Consider the following 15140-nt stretch of genomic DNA (forward strand, 5'->3'; position numbering starts at 1 on the left):
AAAGGGAAATTTGGACACAGACACAGGGAAGATGTGAAGAGACACAGGGAAAAGAGGGCCATCTACAAGCCAAGGAATGCCTGAGGCTGCCGGAAGCAAGTAGAGAAGCCTGGGGCAGATCCTTCTCCAGCACCTTCAGAGAGGGCATGGTCCTGGTGAGATGCTGATTTTGGACTTCTGGAATCCAGAATTGTAAGATGACCAATGTCTGCTGTTTAAGCCATTCAATTTACGGTATCTGTTAGGAAAGACCCTAGGAAACGAATACACCATGGTATAAACTCCACGCAGCCTACACCCTCAGAGCCACTGCCTTTTTAAAGAGCTAGCACTGCACAATTTTACATGTAGAATGATACCTAATCTAAGCAAAACACAACTCAGGAAAGGAATGCATATCGCCATTTTATTTTAGTTTGTTTCCAATTTAGTTACGAATGTCTTCTATGAGAATGCTTGTAATATTTAAGTATAGTAATATATTATCAGCTGAGACATAACAATTCTGGATAATCTAAAAATTCTAGCTAACAAAGTTGATACATTATAACTGAGGTGTCCAATTTTTAAAAAAATACTTAACTGAAACATATAGGCATTTAGCATAAACTAGAATTTAAGAATATATGTCATGTAAAAAAGAAAAACAAAGTGTATGTCATAAACACAAAAACATCAACAAATAAGACACTTGATAATAAAAATGCTGAAAGTCAAAGACAAAAAGACACAGCAAGAAAAGAGGATGCATCACTTATAAGGGAAACTCCAGTTGAGACGAAAGGCTGACTTCTAAGCAGAAACCTGGTAGCTATGAGTCAGTGGGGTAATATATTCAAAGCGCTCAAAGAAAGGAAAAAAAAAATTTTAAAAAACCGTCAACCAACAATGCTGAATCTGCCAATGCTTCCATCTAAATGTGAAATAAAGACTTTCCCATAAGGGCATGGTGGTTCACAACTGTAATCCCAGCACTTTGGGAGGCTGAGGACGGAGGATCACTGGAGCCCAGTAGTTCAAGACCAACTTAGGCAACACAGGGGGACACCATCTCTACAAAAAATTTAAAAATTAGCCAGGCGTGGTGGTGTGCACCTGTAGTCCCAAGCTGCTCAGGAGACTGAGGTGGGAGAACCACTTGGGCCCAAGAGGTTGAGGCTGCAGTGAGCTGTGACCGCACTACTGCACTCCAGACTGGGCAACAGAGCGAGACCTATCTCAAAAAAAAAAAAGACTTTTCTAAAACGAAAACCTAACAGAAGTTGTTCCTATGCTAACAGACATACCTTACAAGAAATACTAAAGAAAGTTGTTCAGGCTAGAAGCAAGTGTTCTCAAACAGCAAGTAAAGTCCACATGAAAAAACATACAAGAGTACCTGTAACAGCAATTGTTAATTATAAAGGACACTATAAATGTGTATTTTTTCTTTCTTCTCTTAATTGATTTAAAAAGCAACTGTATAAAACTATATATATATATTATAGGCCAGGCATGGTGACTCACGCCTGTAATGCCAGCACTTTGGGAGGCCGAGGCGGGCAGATCACGAGGTCAGGAGTTCGAGACCAGCCTGACCAACATAGCGAAACCCCGTCTCTACTAAAGATACAAAAACTAGCCAGGTGTGGTGGCAGGCGCCTGTAATCCCAGCTACTCAGGAGGCTGAGGCAGGAGAATTGCTTGAACCCGGGAGGCGGAGGTTGCAGTGAGCCCAGATCACACCACTGCACTCCAGCCAGGGTGACAGAGACTCAAAAAAAAAAAATTATATATATATATATAATATAAATAATAATAACAGCACAAAAGAGGTAGGTTGAAATGGGCTAACATAAAATAGCATATCAATTGAATTAAAAAACCAGAATCACAGAATCATCTTAATACACACACACACACACACAAAAATCAGGTGACAAAAATCCAACACCTTGTCATGATAAAAACATAGAAAAGAATTCCTCTCTGAATACAATAAAAATTGTATTTATGGGCCAGATACAATGGCTCATGTCTGTAATCCCAATGCTTTGGGACACTGAGGGGCGGATCATTTGAGCTCAGGAGTTCAAGACCAGCCTGGGCAACATGGTGAGAACCCATCTCCACCAAAAATACAAAACATTAGCCAGGCGTGGTGGCACACGCCTGTAGTCCCACCTACTCAGGGGACTGAAATGGAAGAATCACTTTCACCCAGAAGGCAGGGGTGTGGTAAGACAAGATCACAGCACTGCACTTCAGCCTGGGCAACAGAGCAATACCCTGTCTTAACAAAAGAAAAGATTGATTTACGGAATTAATAAAATAAAAGAGGAAAAGAGCTCCTCAATCTGACAAAACGCATCTATAAAAAACTCACAGCTAATATCTTACTTAATAGCGAAAACACTGGATGCTTTTCCTCTAAGATTAGGAAAAAGACAAGAAAATTCCCTCTTGTTAACTTCTACTCAATACTGTACCATAGGTTCTAGCCAGCAGTTAGAAAAACAGGCATCCAAATTTGAAAGGAAGAAGTAAACCTATCTTTATTTGTATGTAACATGATTTTATATAAAGAAAACCCTAAAGAATCCACTAAAAAATTACTACTAGAATAAACGAGTTCAGCAAGGTTGCGGGTTCTAAAATTAATACATAGCCATCAATTGTATTGATCTCATAAAACTATGGAGTAGAATAGTGGTTACTAGAGTAGAGGCTGCAGATGTGGGGGGTGGGAGGAGTAGCCAAGGGGTGGTTAATGAATACAAAATTACAGCTCGATAGGAGGAATAAGTTCTAGTGTTCTACAGCAACAGTCCCCAACCTTTTCGGCATCAGGAACCAGTTTTGTGGAAGACAATTTTTCCATGGACTAGTGGGGGATGGTTTCAGGATGAAACTGTTCTCAGATCACCAGGCATTAGATTCTCATAAGGAATGTGAACCTAGATCCCTCGCATGCGCGGTTCATAACAGGGTTCACACTCCTGAGAATCTAATGCCTTCTACTGATCTGACAAGAGGTGAAGCTCAGGCAGTAATGCTGCTCGCTGGACACTCACCTTCTGCTGTACAGCCCGGTTCCTAACAGGCCACAGATCAGGGGTTGGAGATCCCTGTTCTACAGCACTGCAGGGTGACTATAATTAACAACAATTTATTGTATACTTTCAAATAGATAGAGGAGCAGATTTTGAATATTCCCAACACAAAGAAATGATAAATGTTTGAAGTGATGGATATGCTAATTCCCCAATTTGATCATTACACATTGTATACCTGTATCAAAATATCACACTGTACCCCACAAATACATACAATTATGTCAATTAAAAATAATAAAGCAAAAAATTGTATTTATATATGCTTGTCCTGAACAATCTGAAAATGAAAATAAGACAACTCCATTCACAGTAGCATTCAAAATGATTTAAATAAGTAGGAATCAATTTAACAAAAAAAGAGAATGACATATAAAAGAAAAAAACATTTCAGAGTTTCAAAACTCTGAAAACTACAAAATATTACTAAAAGAAATTAAAGGAAATCTAAACACAGAGAAAAACATACCATGTTCACAGACTGGAAGACTTTAACACTTAAAATGGCAATACTCCACAAACTGATCTACAGGCTCCATGAGATCTCCATCAGAATCCCAGCTAATTTTATGGAAACTGACAAGCTGATTCTAAATTCATATGGAGGTCGGACCCAGTGGCTCACCTGTGTAATGATCACTTGAGTCCAGGAGAACGAGACTGCAATGAGCTATAACTGCAGTCATGACAGTGGTACTGGCAGACAGGCAAACATACAAATCAATGAATTAAAATTGAGGATCCAGAAACTCATACATCTCTGATCAACTGGTTTTCAACAAGAGTGCCAACTCCAAAAGACAGAGAAAGAATAGTCTTTTTAACAACTGGCGCTGGGACAAATGGATAGTCACGTGCAAAAGAATGAAGTTACCTTTACCTCAAACCATGTACAAAAAACTAACTCCAAACAGATCAAAGAAGTACATAAAAGAGCAACACCCAGAAAACTCTTAAACACTGGATTTGGCAAAGGATTGACACAGGATTTGGCAAAGGATTATAAAATATGACACCAAAAGCATGAACGACAAAAGAAAAAAATCAGGCCAGACGCTGTGGCTCACATCTGTAATCCCAGCACTTTGGGAGGCCGAGGTGGGCAGATCACTTGAGGCCAAGAGTTCAAGACCAGCCTGGTCAACATGGCAAAACCCCATCTCTACTAAAAATACAAAAAAATTAGCTGGGCATGGTAGCGCGCAATTGTAATCCCAGCTACTCGGGAGTCTGAGGCACAAGAATCATTTGAACACGGGAGGTGGAGGTTGCCGTGAGCCAAGATTCAGCGACAAAGCAAGATTCTGTCTCCCAAAAAAAAGGAAAAGAGAAAAAAAATTAGATAAATTAGACTTCATCAAAATCAAAATTAAATTTTGTGCTTCAAATGGCACCATCAAGAAAATGAATAGACAACCCATAGAATGGGAGGAAATATTAGCAAATAAGGTAACTAACAAGAAACTTGTATCCAGAATATACAAAGAACTCTTACACCAGGGCCAGGCAGGGTGGCTAATGCCTGTAATCCCAGTGCTTTCGGAGGACTAGGCAAGAGGATCCCGAGGGCCAGGAGTTCAAGACCAGCCTGGGCAAAACACAGCAAGAACCCATCTCTACAAAAAGTAAAAAATTAGCCAGGCATAGAGGCATGCACCTGTACTCCTAGCTACTCCAGAGGCTGAGGTGGGAGGATGACTTGAGACCAGGAGTTGCAAGGGATGATCATGTCACTACACTCCAGCCTGAGTAACACAGCAAGATCCTGTCTTGAAAAAACAAAAACAAAACAACAAAAAACTCACAACAATTAAAAGACAACTCAAAGAACAGCCAAAGAATGCGAATAGATATTTTTCCACAGAAGATACACAAATGGCCAATAAGTACCTAAAGAGGTGCTCAACATCATTACTCATCAGAGAAATGCAAATCAAAACCACAATGAAATGAGATACCACCTCACACCCAAAATGGAATGGCTACAGTCAGAAAGTCAGATAACAAGTACCAATGGGGATGCAGAGAAATGGGAACAGCCATACACTGTTGGCAGGAACATAAAATGGTCCATCTCTGGAAAACAGTCTGGTAGATCCTCAAAAGATTAAACCACAATTCCACTCCAAAGTACAGACACATGAGAAAACAAAACATATGTCCATAAAAAGCTTGCACCCCCAATGTTTACAATAGTATTATTCATAATACCCATAAGGTAGAAATGGCCCAAATGTCCATCAACGAACAAATAAACAAAATGTAGTATATCCACACAATGGAACAATATTTGTCCATTAAAAGCAATGCAGTACTGATACATGTTACAACATAAATGAACCTTGAAAACACGCAAAGTAAAAGCAGCCAGTCCCAAAGACCATATACTCTATGATTCCACATACCAAAGTCCAAAGCAGATAATTATATAAACACATAAAGTAAATCAGTGGTTGCCTAGGGCTGGAAGGGGGAGGGAAAGGAAAGAAGGAGGAGAAAAAGAATAGCTAAAGGGTATAAAGTATCGTTCAAGATGATTAAAACTGACTGTGGTGATAAATGCAAAACTCTAAAAGCCACTAAATTGTACACTTTAAATGAGTGAATTGCATGGTATGTGAATTATATCTCAATAAAGCTGTTTTAAGAAAAAAGAATATGTGCCGGGCGTGGTGGCTCCCGCTTGTAATCCCAGCACTTTGGGAGGCCGAGGCGGGTGGATCACGAGGTCAGGAGATAGAGACCATCCTGGTTAACACGGTGAAACCCCGTCTCTACTAAAAATACAAAAAATTAGCCAGGCGTGGTGGCGGGCGCCTGTAGTCCCAGCTACTCAGGAGGCTGAGGCAGGACAATGGCGTGAACCTGGGAGGCGGAGCTTGCAGTGAGTGGATATCGCACCACTGCACTCCAGCCTGGGTGACAGAGCGAGACTCCGTCTCAAAAAAAAAAAAAAAAAAGAAAGAAAGAAAAGAAAATAGAATATGTATGTCAACTTGGAGTCTTTTTTGATTAATTGTTTACATTCAACATTTAAAGCTTAGTGTCCTGGCCGGGCATGGTGGCTCACACCTGTAATCCCAGTACTCTGAGAGGCTGAGGCAGGCTGATCACCTAAGGTCAGGAGTTCAAGACTAGCCTGGCCAACATGGCGAAACCCTGTCTCTACTAAAAAATACAAAAATTAGCCAGGTGTGGTGGCAGGCACCTGTAATACCAGCTACTTGGGAGGCTGAGGCAGAGGTTGCAGTGAGCCAAGATCGTGCCACTGCACTCCAGCCTGGGCAACAGAGTGAGACTCCGTCTCAAAAAAAAATAAGTAAATAAATAAAGCTTAGTGTCCAAAACTCAAATTCACTTTTAAAGTCTTCAATTTTGTTTTTTAGATAAAACATATATACATATGCATACAAAAACATATAAAGTAATGAAATAGAAATATTTTCTAGTTTCAAATAGGTTCTATGAAATCTAGTAACAATAAACTCCAAAAATGGGAATGACAAGAGTGGAAACGTCACTTCCATAACAATAAAAAGCTGTGCTATCATCCATTAATCGGTACATTAGAGTTACAGATCCTTTTAGTACTTGAGAATGAAATGTTCAACCTTTCCCCTTCCACAAGTCACCCTCATGGAGCTCACACACCCACTTTTCTGATACTGTTCTGCTGGATGTGAATTTAAGTCTCATTTCCCCAAAAAGACGTATCTTCCTTAAAAGTAAGAACCACTCATACCTAACAGTTCACCTAGCATAGCCCATACACCAATATTTACTGGGTATTCTTTCCTGTCTTCCTTATCATCTCTTTTCTTAGCCTCTCTTGCTCTGTTGGTTTTCTTCAGACTTACAAGCAAAATGAGAAAAACGAAGTCTCTAGAAGTCCAGGCTCTATGTTTCATCCTATTTCTCGTAAGTTTACTGAGGTATCAAATCTAATTATGGCAGTCGTTTAATAACTGCAAAACAAAAATATTTAGAGATCTGGCAATCCTCAAATTAGAGCTTCTTCTGATACTATCTTTAACCATTAAAAATCTATTTCACATCCCACAGAAATATCCACATCTTTCCACTTTGCCTAAGAAAATGTGAGAGTTGCCCTTTTCTGCCCTTTCTTCCTTAGGAAGCACACAGCCTGAGGCCTTCTCTCTAAACCTCCAAGATTATCTTTTAATGAAGCCGAACCATCATTTAAATTACTATGCTGTAAATATAAAAGGTTCTGATGTAATCTTAACATCCTAAAATATATTTTACATATACTCTGTTGAGCAAGGGCATATAGCATAGGTTTTATTCATTTCATCCATTTTTGTAACCTCTCATGCTACCAAGCCTATATTTACTTACTTATCAAAAGTTGTAAAAGTATTGGTAGCTAATTTTCCTGAATGTTCCACTGCATCTTTACTTTTCTCCTGCTGAGACTGGTAGTGTGCTAACAGTACCTGAAGTAAAAATTCTCCTTCCGTTACTTCCAAAACTAGAACAGATAACCACGTCTTAATGTTCACTTAGTACAAAAGGTGTATGTTTACAAATCCACTCAACTTCTTTCCAATATTTCACCATAACCCAAAATTCATTAAAGGCATATCAGGAATTGATTTTCACCTCTAATACATTTTTTAAAGTTAAAAAAAAACGTGGACGCATTGTGGTAGTAGAAAAATAACTGCCTCCCTCAAAATGTCCACATCCTAATCCCCAGAACCTGTGAATTCAAGTTGCAGAAGGAATTAAGGTTGCTAAAATCAAACGACCTTGAGAGAGTATCCCAGATTACCCAGGTGAGCCCTATGTAATCACAAGGGTCTGGTAAGTGAAAGAGGGAAGCAGGACAGTCGCCGTCCGAGGGAGGTAATGAAAGAAAGACTGGCCAGTCATGGCTGGCTTTGAAGATGCTGCAGGGGCCAGGAGCCAAAAGGCAAGGGCAGCATCCAGGTGGCAAAGGCAAAGAAACAGTCCCTCCTGCAGCTCCAGGAAAGAACACAGCCCAGCCAGACCCACATAAACCTCTGACCTCCACAACTTTTTTTTTTTTCTGATGTCCACAACTTTTTTTTTTTTTTTTTTTTTTTTTTTTTTTTTGAGACGGAACCTCGCTCTGTCACCCAGACTGGAGTGCAGTGGCGCGATCTCGGCTCATTGCAACCTCCGCCTCCAAGGTTCAAGCAATTCTCCTGCCTCAGCCTCCCAAGTAGCTGGGACTACAGGCGCGTGCCACCATGCCCGGCTAATTTTTTGTATTTTTAGTAGAGACAGGGTTTCACCATGTTGGCCAAGATGGTCTTGATCTCCTGACCTCGTGATCTGCCCGCCTTGGCCTCCCAAGGTGCTGGGATCACAGGTGTGAGCCACTGCACCCAGCGACCTCCATAACTTTAGAATAATAAACTTGTGTGATTTTAAGCCACTAAACTTGTGGTAATATGTTACAGCCCCATTGGAAACTAATGCACACACAAATTGGTCCATTTTAAATATTACAAATAGAAATACAAATAAATGCACTCTAATATCCCTAAAATCTGAAAATTAAAGTAACTGTACCTGGTTAGTTCATCTAATTTTCAGAATCCTGTGCCTAAGAATTTGAAGTTGCTTTTGTAAAAGCACAGGAGTAGTAAATATATAACCCTGAGGCGGAACATATTAAAAAATGGAAAATAAAAGAAAAACTACTTTGTCAAGTTTTAGTGTATAATCAGTTAAATCTTATTAATTATAGTTCAGATGCAAAAATCTGTTAGAACTTCATGTGCTCATTCACTTGTAATATCACAAAATTAAGTCTAGATGCGGAAAAGGTTCAACTTAATTTGTAAACTTTAGCCTGCCTAAATGTATGACTTTCGGAATACAACTATGAAAATATTCTGAAAATGTAAAAAGTTTATTTCTATGTAGCTTCAAATATAACATAGATGTACATTCTCTTTCAATGTTTTTAAAAATATTTCTTAAAAAAAACCTATAGAAGCAGTTAAAACTGTATTCTGAAGCCCTAATGAAACACTGGATCTAGGCAATGATTATCAACAGTTGCTAAAAACCATGAGGTAAAAAGCTGCCAGCAGCTCCGTAACAGAAGAGTCATTCTGACAATGCCAGCCTCATCATTATAAAGAGACACGACATTCCACTGCAAACCAGAAGTACACATCACCTAAGTTTTTCCACCACCACTTGTACCTCAACTCCTGCAAGGAAAAAAAAAAAAAAAATCAAGGAATCTGGTTCAGGCCTCTTAATCTACCAGATTACAGAAAACACAAAGGATGGAAGAACATGTTAAACATCACAAAGGGGATGCAATCAGCAAAGTACAGAAAATGAAAAAAGCTATGTGACAATCTGATTTCCTCAAAAGATAAACTATAATAAAAAAGAAACAGGGATCCACATTTAAGAGATATAGTGACGAAACGCAACGATGATCATTATGGATCCAACTATAATCATTTGAGACAATCAGGTAATTTCAACAATGATTGGATATTTATGAGTATTAAGAAAGAAAGAGGCTGGGGGGGCAGTGGCTCACGCCTGTAATCCCAGCACTTTGGGAAGCCAAGACAGGCGGATCACCTGAGGTCAGAAGTTTGAGACCAGCCTGGCCAACATGGTGAAACCCCATCTCTACTAAACAAAATACAAAAATTAGCTGGGCATGGTGGCAGGCACCTGTAATCCCAGGTACTCAGGAGGCTAAGGCAGGAAGAATTGCTTGAACCTGGGAGGTGGAGGTTGCAGTGAGCCGAAATCACACCACTGCACTCCAGCCTGGGCGACAGAGCAAGATTCCGTCTCAAAAAAACAAAAGAGAGAGAGAGAAAAAATGATTTTATGGTTGTCTTTAGGGGGAAGAAGCATCTACACCTACATTAGTAACAGCATGATCCGGCGGCAAAAGCACTAGACTAAATACGGAGAGGTCTCAGGCAGAATCCTAAAATCAAATCACTGGAGTCTGAAATAATCTATTTGTTAATTTCCTTACCTGTAAAACAGACTACTCCTCTCTATGGGTCCATCTCATAGATTTCACAGTTTTTGTTTGGAAAAAATGAACTAATAATAACAAAGTAATCTGAAATGTAAATACTGACATTGGTGAAGTTTCTTCACAGCAGGTATGTTACAAAAATATATTCTGCGTAATAGTTATTTTCACTAATGTGGTAATCATGTTTTGTTGGTTTTTTATTTTCAATAAATTTTCTAGAAAACCACTTCTGATCCCTTTTTGCTTGATAAGTTTTACATACATTAAGCTAAAAAACAGAATGCTGTAGTTGAAATGGACCTAAGATCACAAAGAGGTGTATATAATCCCGTCATTATATAGAGGTGTACATAATTCCCCGTCATTACTTTGGGAAAAAGTGGATGTTCTAGGTATGATCTCTCCCACTTTCCTTTACCCGCTGTATCAGAAGTACTTTTCATTAGCTCATTTTTAGCAAAAATGAGTTCTGTAAGCTACAAATGTGATTTTTAACAACATATACATGCCTTTTTTTAAAAAAAATATAAGTTTATAGAAGATTTTTCCCTAAACCAATATGAACCCAATCAATTTAACAAGTTTGAGGACAAAATTACTGAAACATTAAATCATGTAAGTAATTTTAATCACTTAACCTTATTTCTCTCTTGTTATTTTAATTCACTTCTCACTTCCTCGCCAGGACCTTTGTCCTCTTCATTTTTCTCCAAGTTACCTTTCAAATTCCACCAAGCTTCCCTCCCCACCACTCCCAAAAGCCTTCCTTCTCCAACTGATGCAGGCCTCACTCCAAATACCAGTCTGTCTTCCCTGTACACATCAAAATACAGCTTATCAAGTTTGTATCAGTTTACATTATTATACACAAAGCTGGTCTCCCCAACTAGACTGCAAGCCCTTTGGAACTTAAACAGCTTTGAATCTCTAGGGTCTAGCACATAACCCAACTTAATGAATATTCCTTGACATTAATTGCAATGGACCTGATTGCGCCATTAGTTTTACTGGGTGAACTGTGTTCCCTAATAAAGGTACGTTTAAGTCTTAAGCCCCAATATCTCAGAATATGACCTTATTTTGAAATAGGGTCTTTACAGAAGTAATCAAGTTACAATGAAGTCATTAGGGTGGACCCTAATCCAGTGTGACTGGTGTCTGTGTAGAAAGGGAAAATTCGGACACAGGCATAGAAGGAAGACAAAATGGAGACAGAGACACAGGGAGAATGCCATGTGAAAAGATTGGAATGATGCATCCACTGCCAGAAAACCACCAGTAGCTAGGGTAGAAAATGGAAGAGAGTCTCCTCATAGCCCTCAGAGGGAACCAACCCTGTCGACATCCTGATTCTGGACTTCTAGCCTACAGAATTGTTAGGACGATAAATTTCTGTTACAGGCATGCACCACTTAATGACAGGGATACATTCTGAGAAATTGACTGTTAAGCAATTTCATCATGGTGCGTATGTCATAGAGTGTACTCACGCAAACCTAGATGGTACAGCCCACTACACACTTAGGCTATGTGGTCTAGCCTCTTGCTCCTAGGCCACAAACCTGTACAGCATATGACTGTACTGGATCCTGTAGGTAACTGTAACACAATGGTAAGTATTCATGTCTCTAAACACATCTAAACGTAGAAAAGGTACAGTAACAATACAGTATTATAATCCACACACAGTTTCTGGCACTTTGTTATGGCAGCCCTAGGAAACTAATAAAATTATTGTTTAATAAAATGAAAATGTGCAAACAGTATTATATAACCAAACCTTTCAATATGATAGACATTGAAGATCATGGGAAATTAAAATGCACACAAGAGTTTTGACATGGAATGAAACATGATGACAACCAAAAATATACACTGTTAGGTGAAAAAGCAAATAAACCTGCAGTTTTAAATTTTGGGGGGAGTGGGGGTGACACACACACAATACCTCATGTTTGTATATGCACAGGTAATGTCTGGCAATAAACACACACATATCCCAACTCTTTCTAGCAATTACTTCTTGGGAAAGGGCGGCCCCTCTTCCTTGTAAGAAATGAATTTTTTAAACTCACACAATTTTGCAGTTTTAAAAATAGTAAGTGGTTTGGTTTTTCTTAAACTTCTAAAATTGCAAAATTAAAAGAAACTACCATTTCTAAGGTAATCAGATATCACATTTTTCTTTAAGAGTATATACAGTTAAACCTGAATAATTTAATTCTTTTAAAATCCTCACTCTGGTAGTTCAAAAAACAATGTATCAATTACTAAATTACAAGGGCGTATCTACCACCCCATTTCTAAAAGTTACCATGACATTATATTTCAAAGTCCATATTAAACACAGGCTGTTCCTAAAAATGTCAGGAAGAAAATAAGATTTTTCAAACACCATTCCATTTGCATCAGGCATATAATTCTGGTGTTTTACAAGTGTTCTATCATTAAATTTCATTTCTCAACTAGGCCACACCTATTCAATCCAGCCTTCTCTATCAATATCCAGTAACATTTGCAGAGGGCCTTGTTAACTTGGATGTCAACCAAAAATGTACCCAAATATCCTAACTCTCTTTAACAGTCTGTTCTAGATTTATCATCTATACATTTATCTAAACTCAAACTTTCCTACACCTTTATTTTTTATCATTGTGAGATCTGAATCTGTGAAATGCCTAGCAATAGCATCACCAAGTAGCCACTCAATAAATGTCAGACTCCTATATAAGTTCCTTGGGAAAGCTAAAATTACAGATGTCACATTCAACTTTACAAGTCAGGGAAGATGACCTAAGTCATCATTAACATAAAATGGCAAGAACATCACGGTAGGCTATTAGCACTGAAATGGTATAATAACTACAACCCAGTTTCAGAGATGAAAAGGAAAGAAAGTAGACTATTAAAGCAACTAACATCTGGGATGAAAATGTGTAACAGAAGAGAAGCTTTAAGGACACAAGGAAGTAAAAACCTGAAAGAGCGGAATTGCGAACACTTGGCAGGAGGAGTAACCTGAGCAAAGGCAACTGTGCAGTCTTTAAAGAACGAAAATACCACCTTAAATACATACCATGTGTCAATTATACCTCAGTAAAGCTGGAAAAACTCAATAAAGAAAGAAACTAAACAGAGAACAAAAAAAGGTGACAGATTTCACTTGTATCTTTTTAGTTAAAAAGGGCAACATAATGTCTCCAACTAAGACAATGATACAAATATCCAAGCATTTTTATCTGGCTAAGGCTTGATGTGTATAGTGAGAAAACAACCAGAAGTAAAAGTTGCTTCCTTTTAGTTTTTCATTTGCCAAGTTAAGTGAAGGCCTCTGCTTTAACCAGTCACATGACAATGGCAGGTCCTTGTTCAGCAGGGTCCCCCGTGGAGGAGATATAAGCCTCCTCAAATTGAAAAAAAAAATGCAATAAAAACAAATGAAACTAACCAGTAAACTTTAAAAAAGTGAACTGTCTTTAAAAAAAAAAAAATGCAACACCAGACAATGAAAAGATTCTAATTTGCCTAGCAGAACCAAAAGCACAATATTTTTGGTTTTGTTTTTGGTCCGTTGTATCTAGTTTTTGAGCCTTTGATGTTTCAAATTTGTTCCAAATTTTGTCCACCTTTACATAAAAACCCTGAGCACATCAGTCTGAAGAAATTATCAGCTTTAAACCTCTAGGTCCATCAAACAACAAACAGTGAAACCACTTGATTCCTATTCCTCACCTGTTCTTAAAAGAACCAAAGCATCATGTTTCTTTTTTTTTTTTTTCCCCCTTCAACCTTAAGTTACAGGGTACATGTGCAGGATGTGCAGGTTTGTGACACAGGTAAACGTATCATGGTGGTTTGCTGCACAGCTCAACCCATCTCCCCGGGTTAAGCCCAGCATCCATCAGCTCTTCTTCCTGATGCTCTCCCTCCCGCCATCCTCCCCACAGGCCCCAGTGTGTAGCGTTCCCCTCCACAAAGCGTCATCTTTCAAGGCCGTTAAGTCTGAAACCTTCTAAACATTATATCCCGTTTTGTGGAAAAGAGAATCCCCCTGCTCTATTAAGATATACCTCCTAACGCAAACTTCAAAGTCCCAGCTACTACCCCCAAGGTACCACCTTAACCATCCTGCATATGAGTCTCTTCATTAAGCAAATTAAACAAACAGGGAACCTTTGCAACATCAGCAAAGAAAAATTGTGAAACAATATGCCAGAGAAACAGCAGAAATAATTTCTTCAAAGTTATAACGGCTAGATTTTTGGACTAAGATAATCACATACAAAGCAGAATAAATGTTCATCTACAGAATCTCAAATTATAAATGCATTTTCCATTCCAAAGAACAAAAGCCTTGTATTTTATTGTCTCCTTACCCCTACAACTTAAGTACTTTATGACTTATTTTACTTGTGCCCAGATGGGCTCTAATTTTGAAAGTCTCTTTTCAGGGATCCCTGAAAAACCCAGGTAGACCAATACTGTAGAAATAAAGGCAATTTACTCACTATAATTTTATACCTTTAAAAAAAAATGTTACTAATAGGGAATTGCAGTGTTTACTGCCATCAGAAGTTAACTACAGGCCAGGTGCAGTGGTTCACACGTGTAATTGCAGCATTTTGGGAGGCCAGCTACATCACTTGAGTTTGAGACCAGCCTGGGCAACATGGTGAAACCCTGTCTCTACAAAAAAAATTAATTAAAAAGAAAAAATAGCTGGGCATGGTAGTGTGTGCCTGTAGTCCCAGATACTTGGGAGGCTCAGGCAGGAGGATAGCTTGAGCCCGGGGGGCAGAGGTTTCAATGAGGCGAGACTGCACCACTGCACTCCAGCCTGGGCAACAGAGCAAGGCTCTGTCTCAAAAAATAAAAAAAAATAAAAAAAAATTAAAAAGCCACTCATTAACTGTACATTTTTAACATAGTAAAGATTTTAAGGGTAATCTAAAACTTTGCTTCATGGATCATTAAAATACTCATTTTCAAACTTTGAAATGACTACGCTTTGTCAAAGGTAACTTGTGAGC

The 15140-nt window shown here is 38.7% G+C and overlaps 1 protein-coding gene and 1 long non-coding RNA gene across 3 annotated transcripts in view, besides 1 other annotated feature; one reads left to right on the forward strand and one right to left on the reverse strand.

Annotated features, from left to right (window-relative positions):
• The window catches only part of USP12 (ubiquitin specific peptidase 12), a 105656-nt gene that overhangs the window by 80752 nt on the left and 9764 nt on the right, over nucleotides 1–15140 (reverse strand). The gene's annotated exons all lie outside the window — the stretch shown is intronic.
• USP12-AS1 (USP12 antisense RNA 1) overlaps nucleotides 1–15140 on the forward strand; it is a 43603-nt gene that overhangs the window by 21375 nt on the left and 7088 nt on the right. The window lies entirely within an intron of this gene.
• Nucleotides 835–1024: an enhancer, noted in NCBI's record as "active region_7498". NCBI's record gives its function as "activates an Ori minimal core promoter by ATAC-STARR-seq in GM12878 lymphoblastoid cells {active_cell/tissue: GM12878}" and the evidence as "EXISTENCE:reporter gene assay evidence [ECO:0000049][PMID:35858748]".

The sequence above is a fragment of the Homo sapiens genome, chromosome 13, assembly GCF_000001405.40.
Source record: "Homo sapiens chromosome 13, GRCh38.p14 Primary Assembly".
In the NCBI taxonomy this organism is placed as follows: domain Eukaryota; kingdom Metazoa; phylum Chordata; class Mammalia; order Primates; family Hominidae; genus Homo; species Homo sapiens.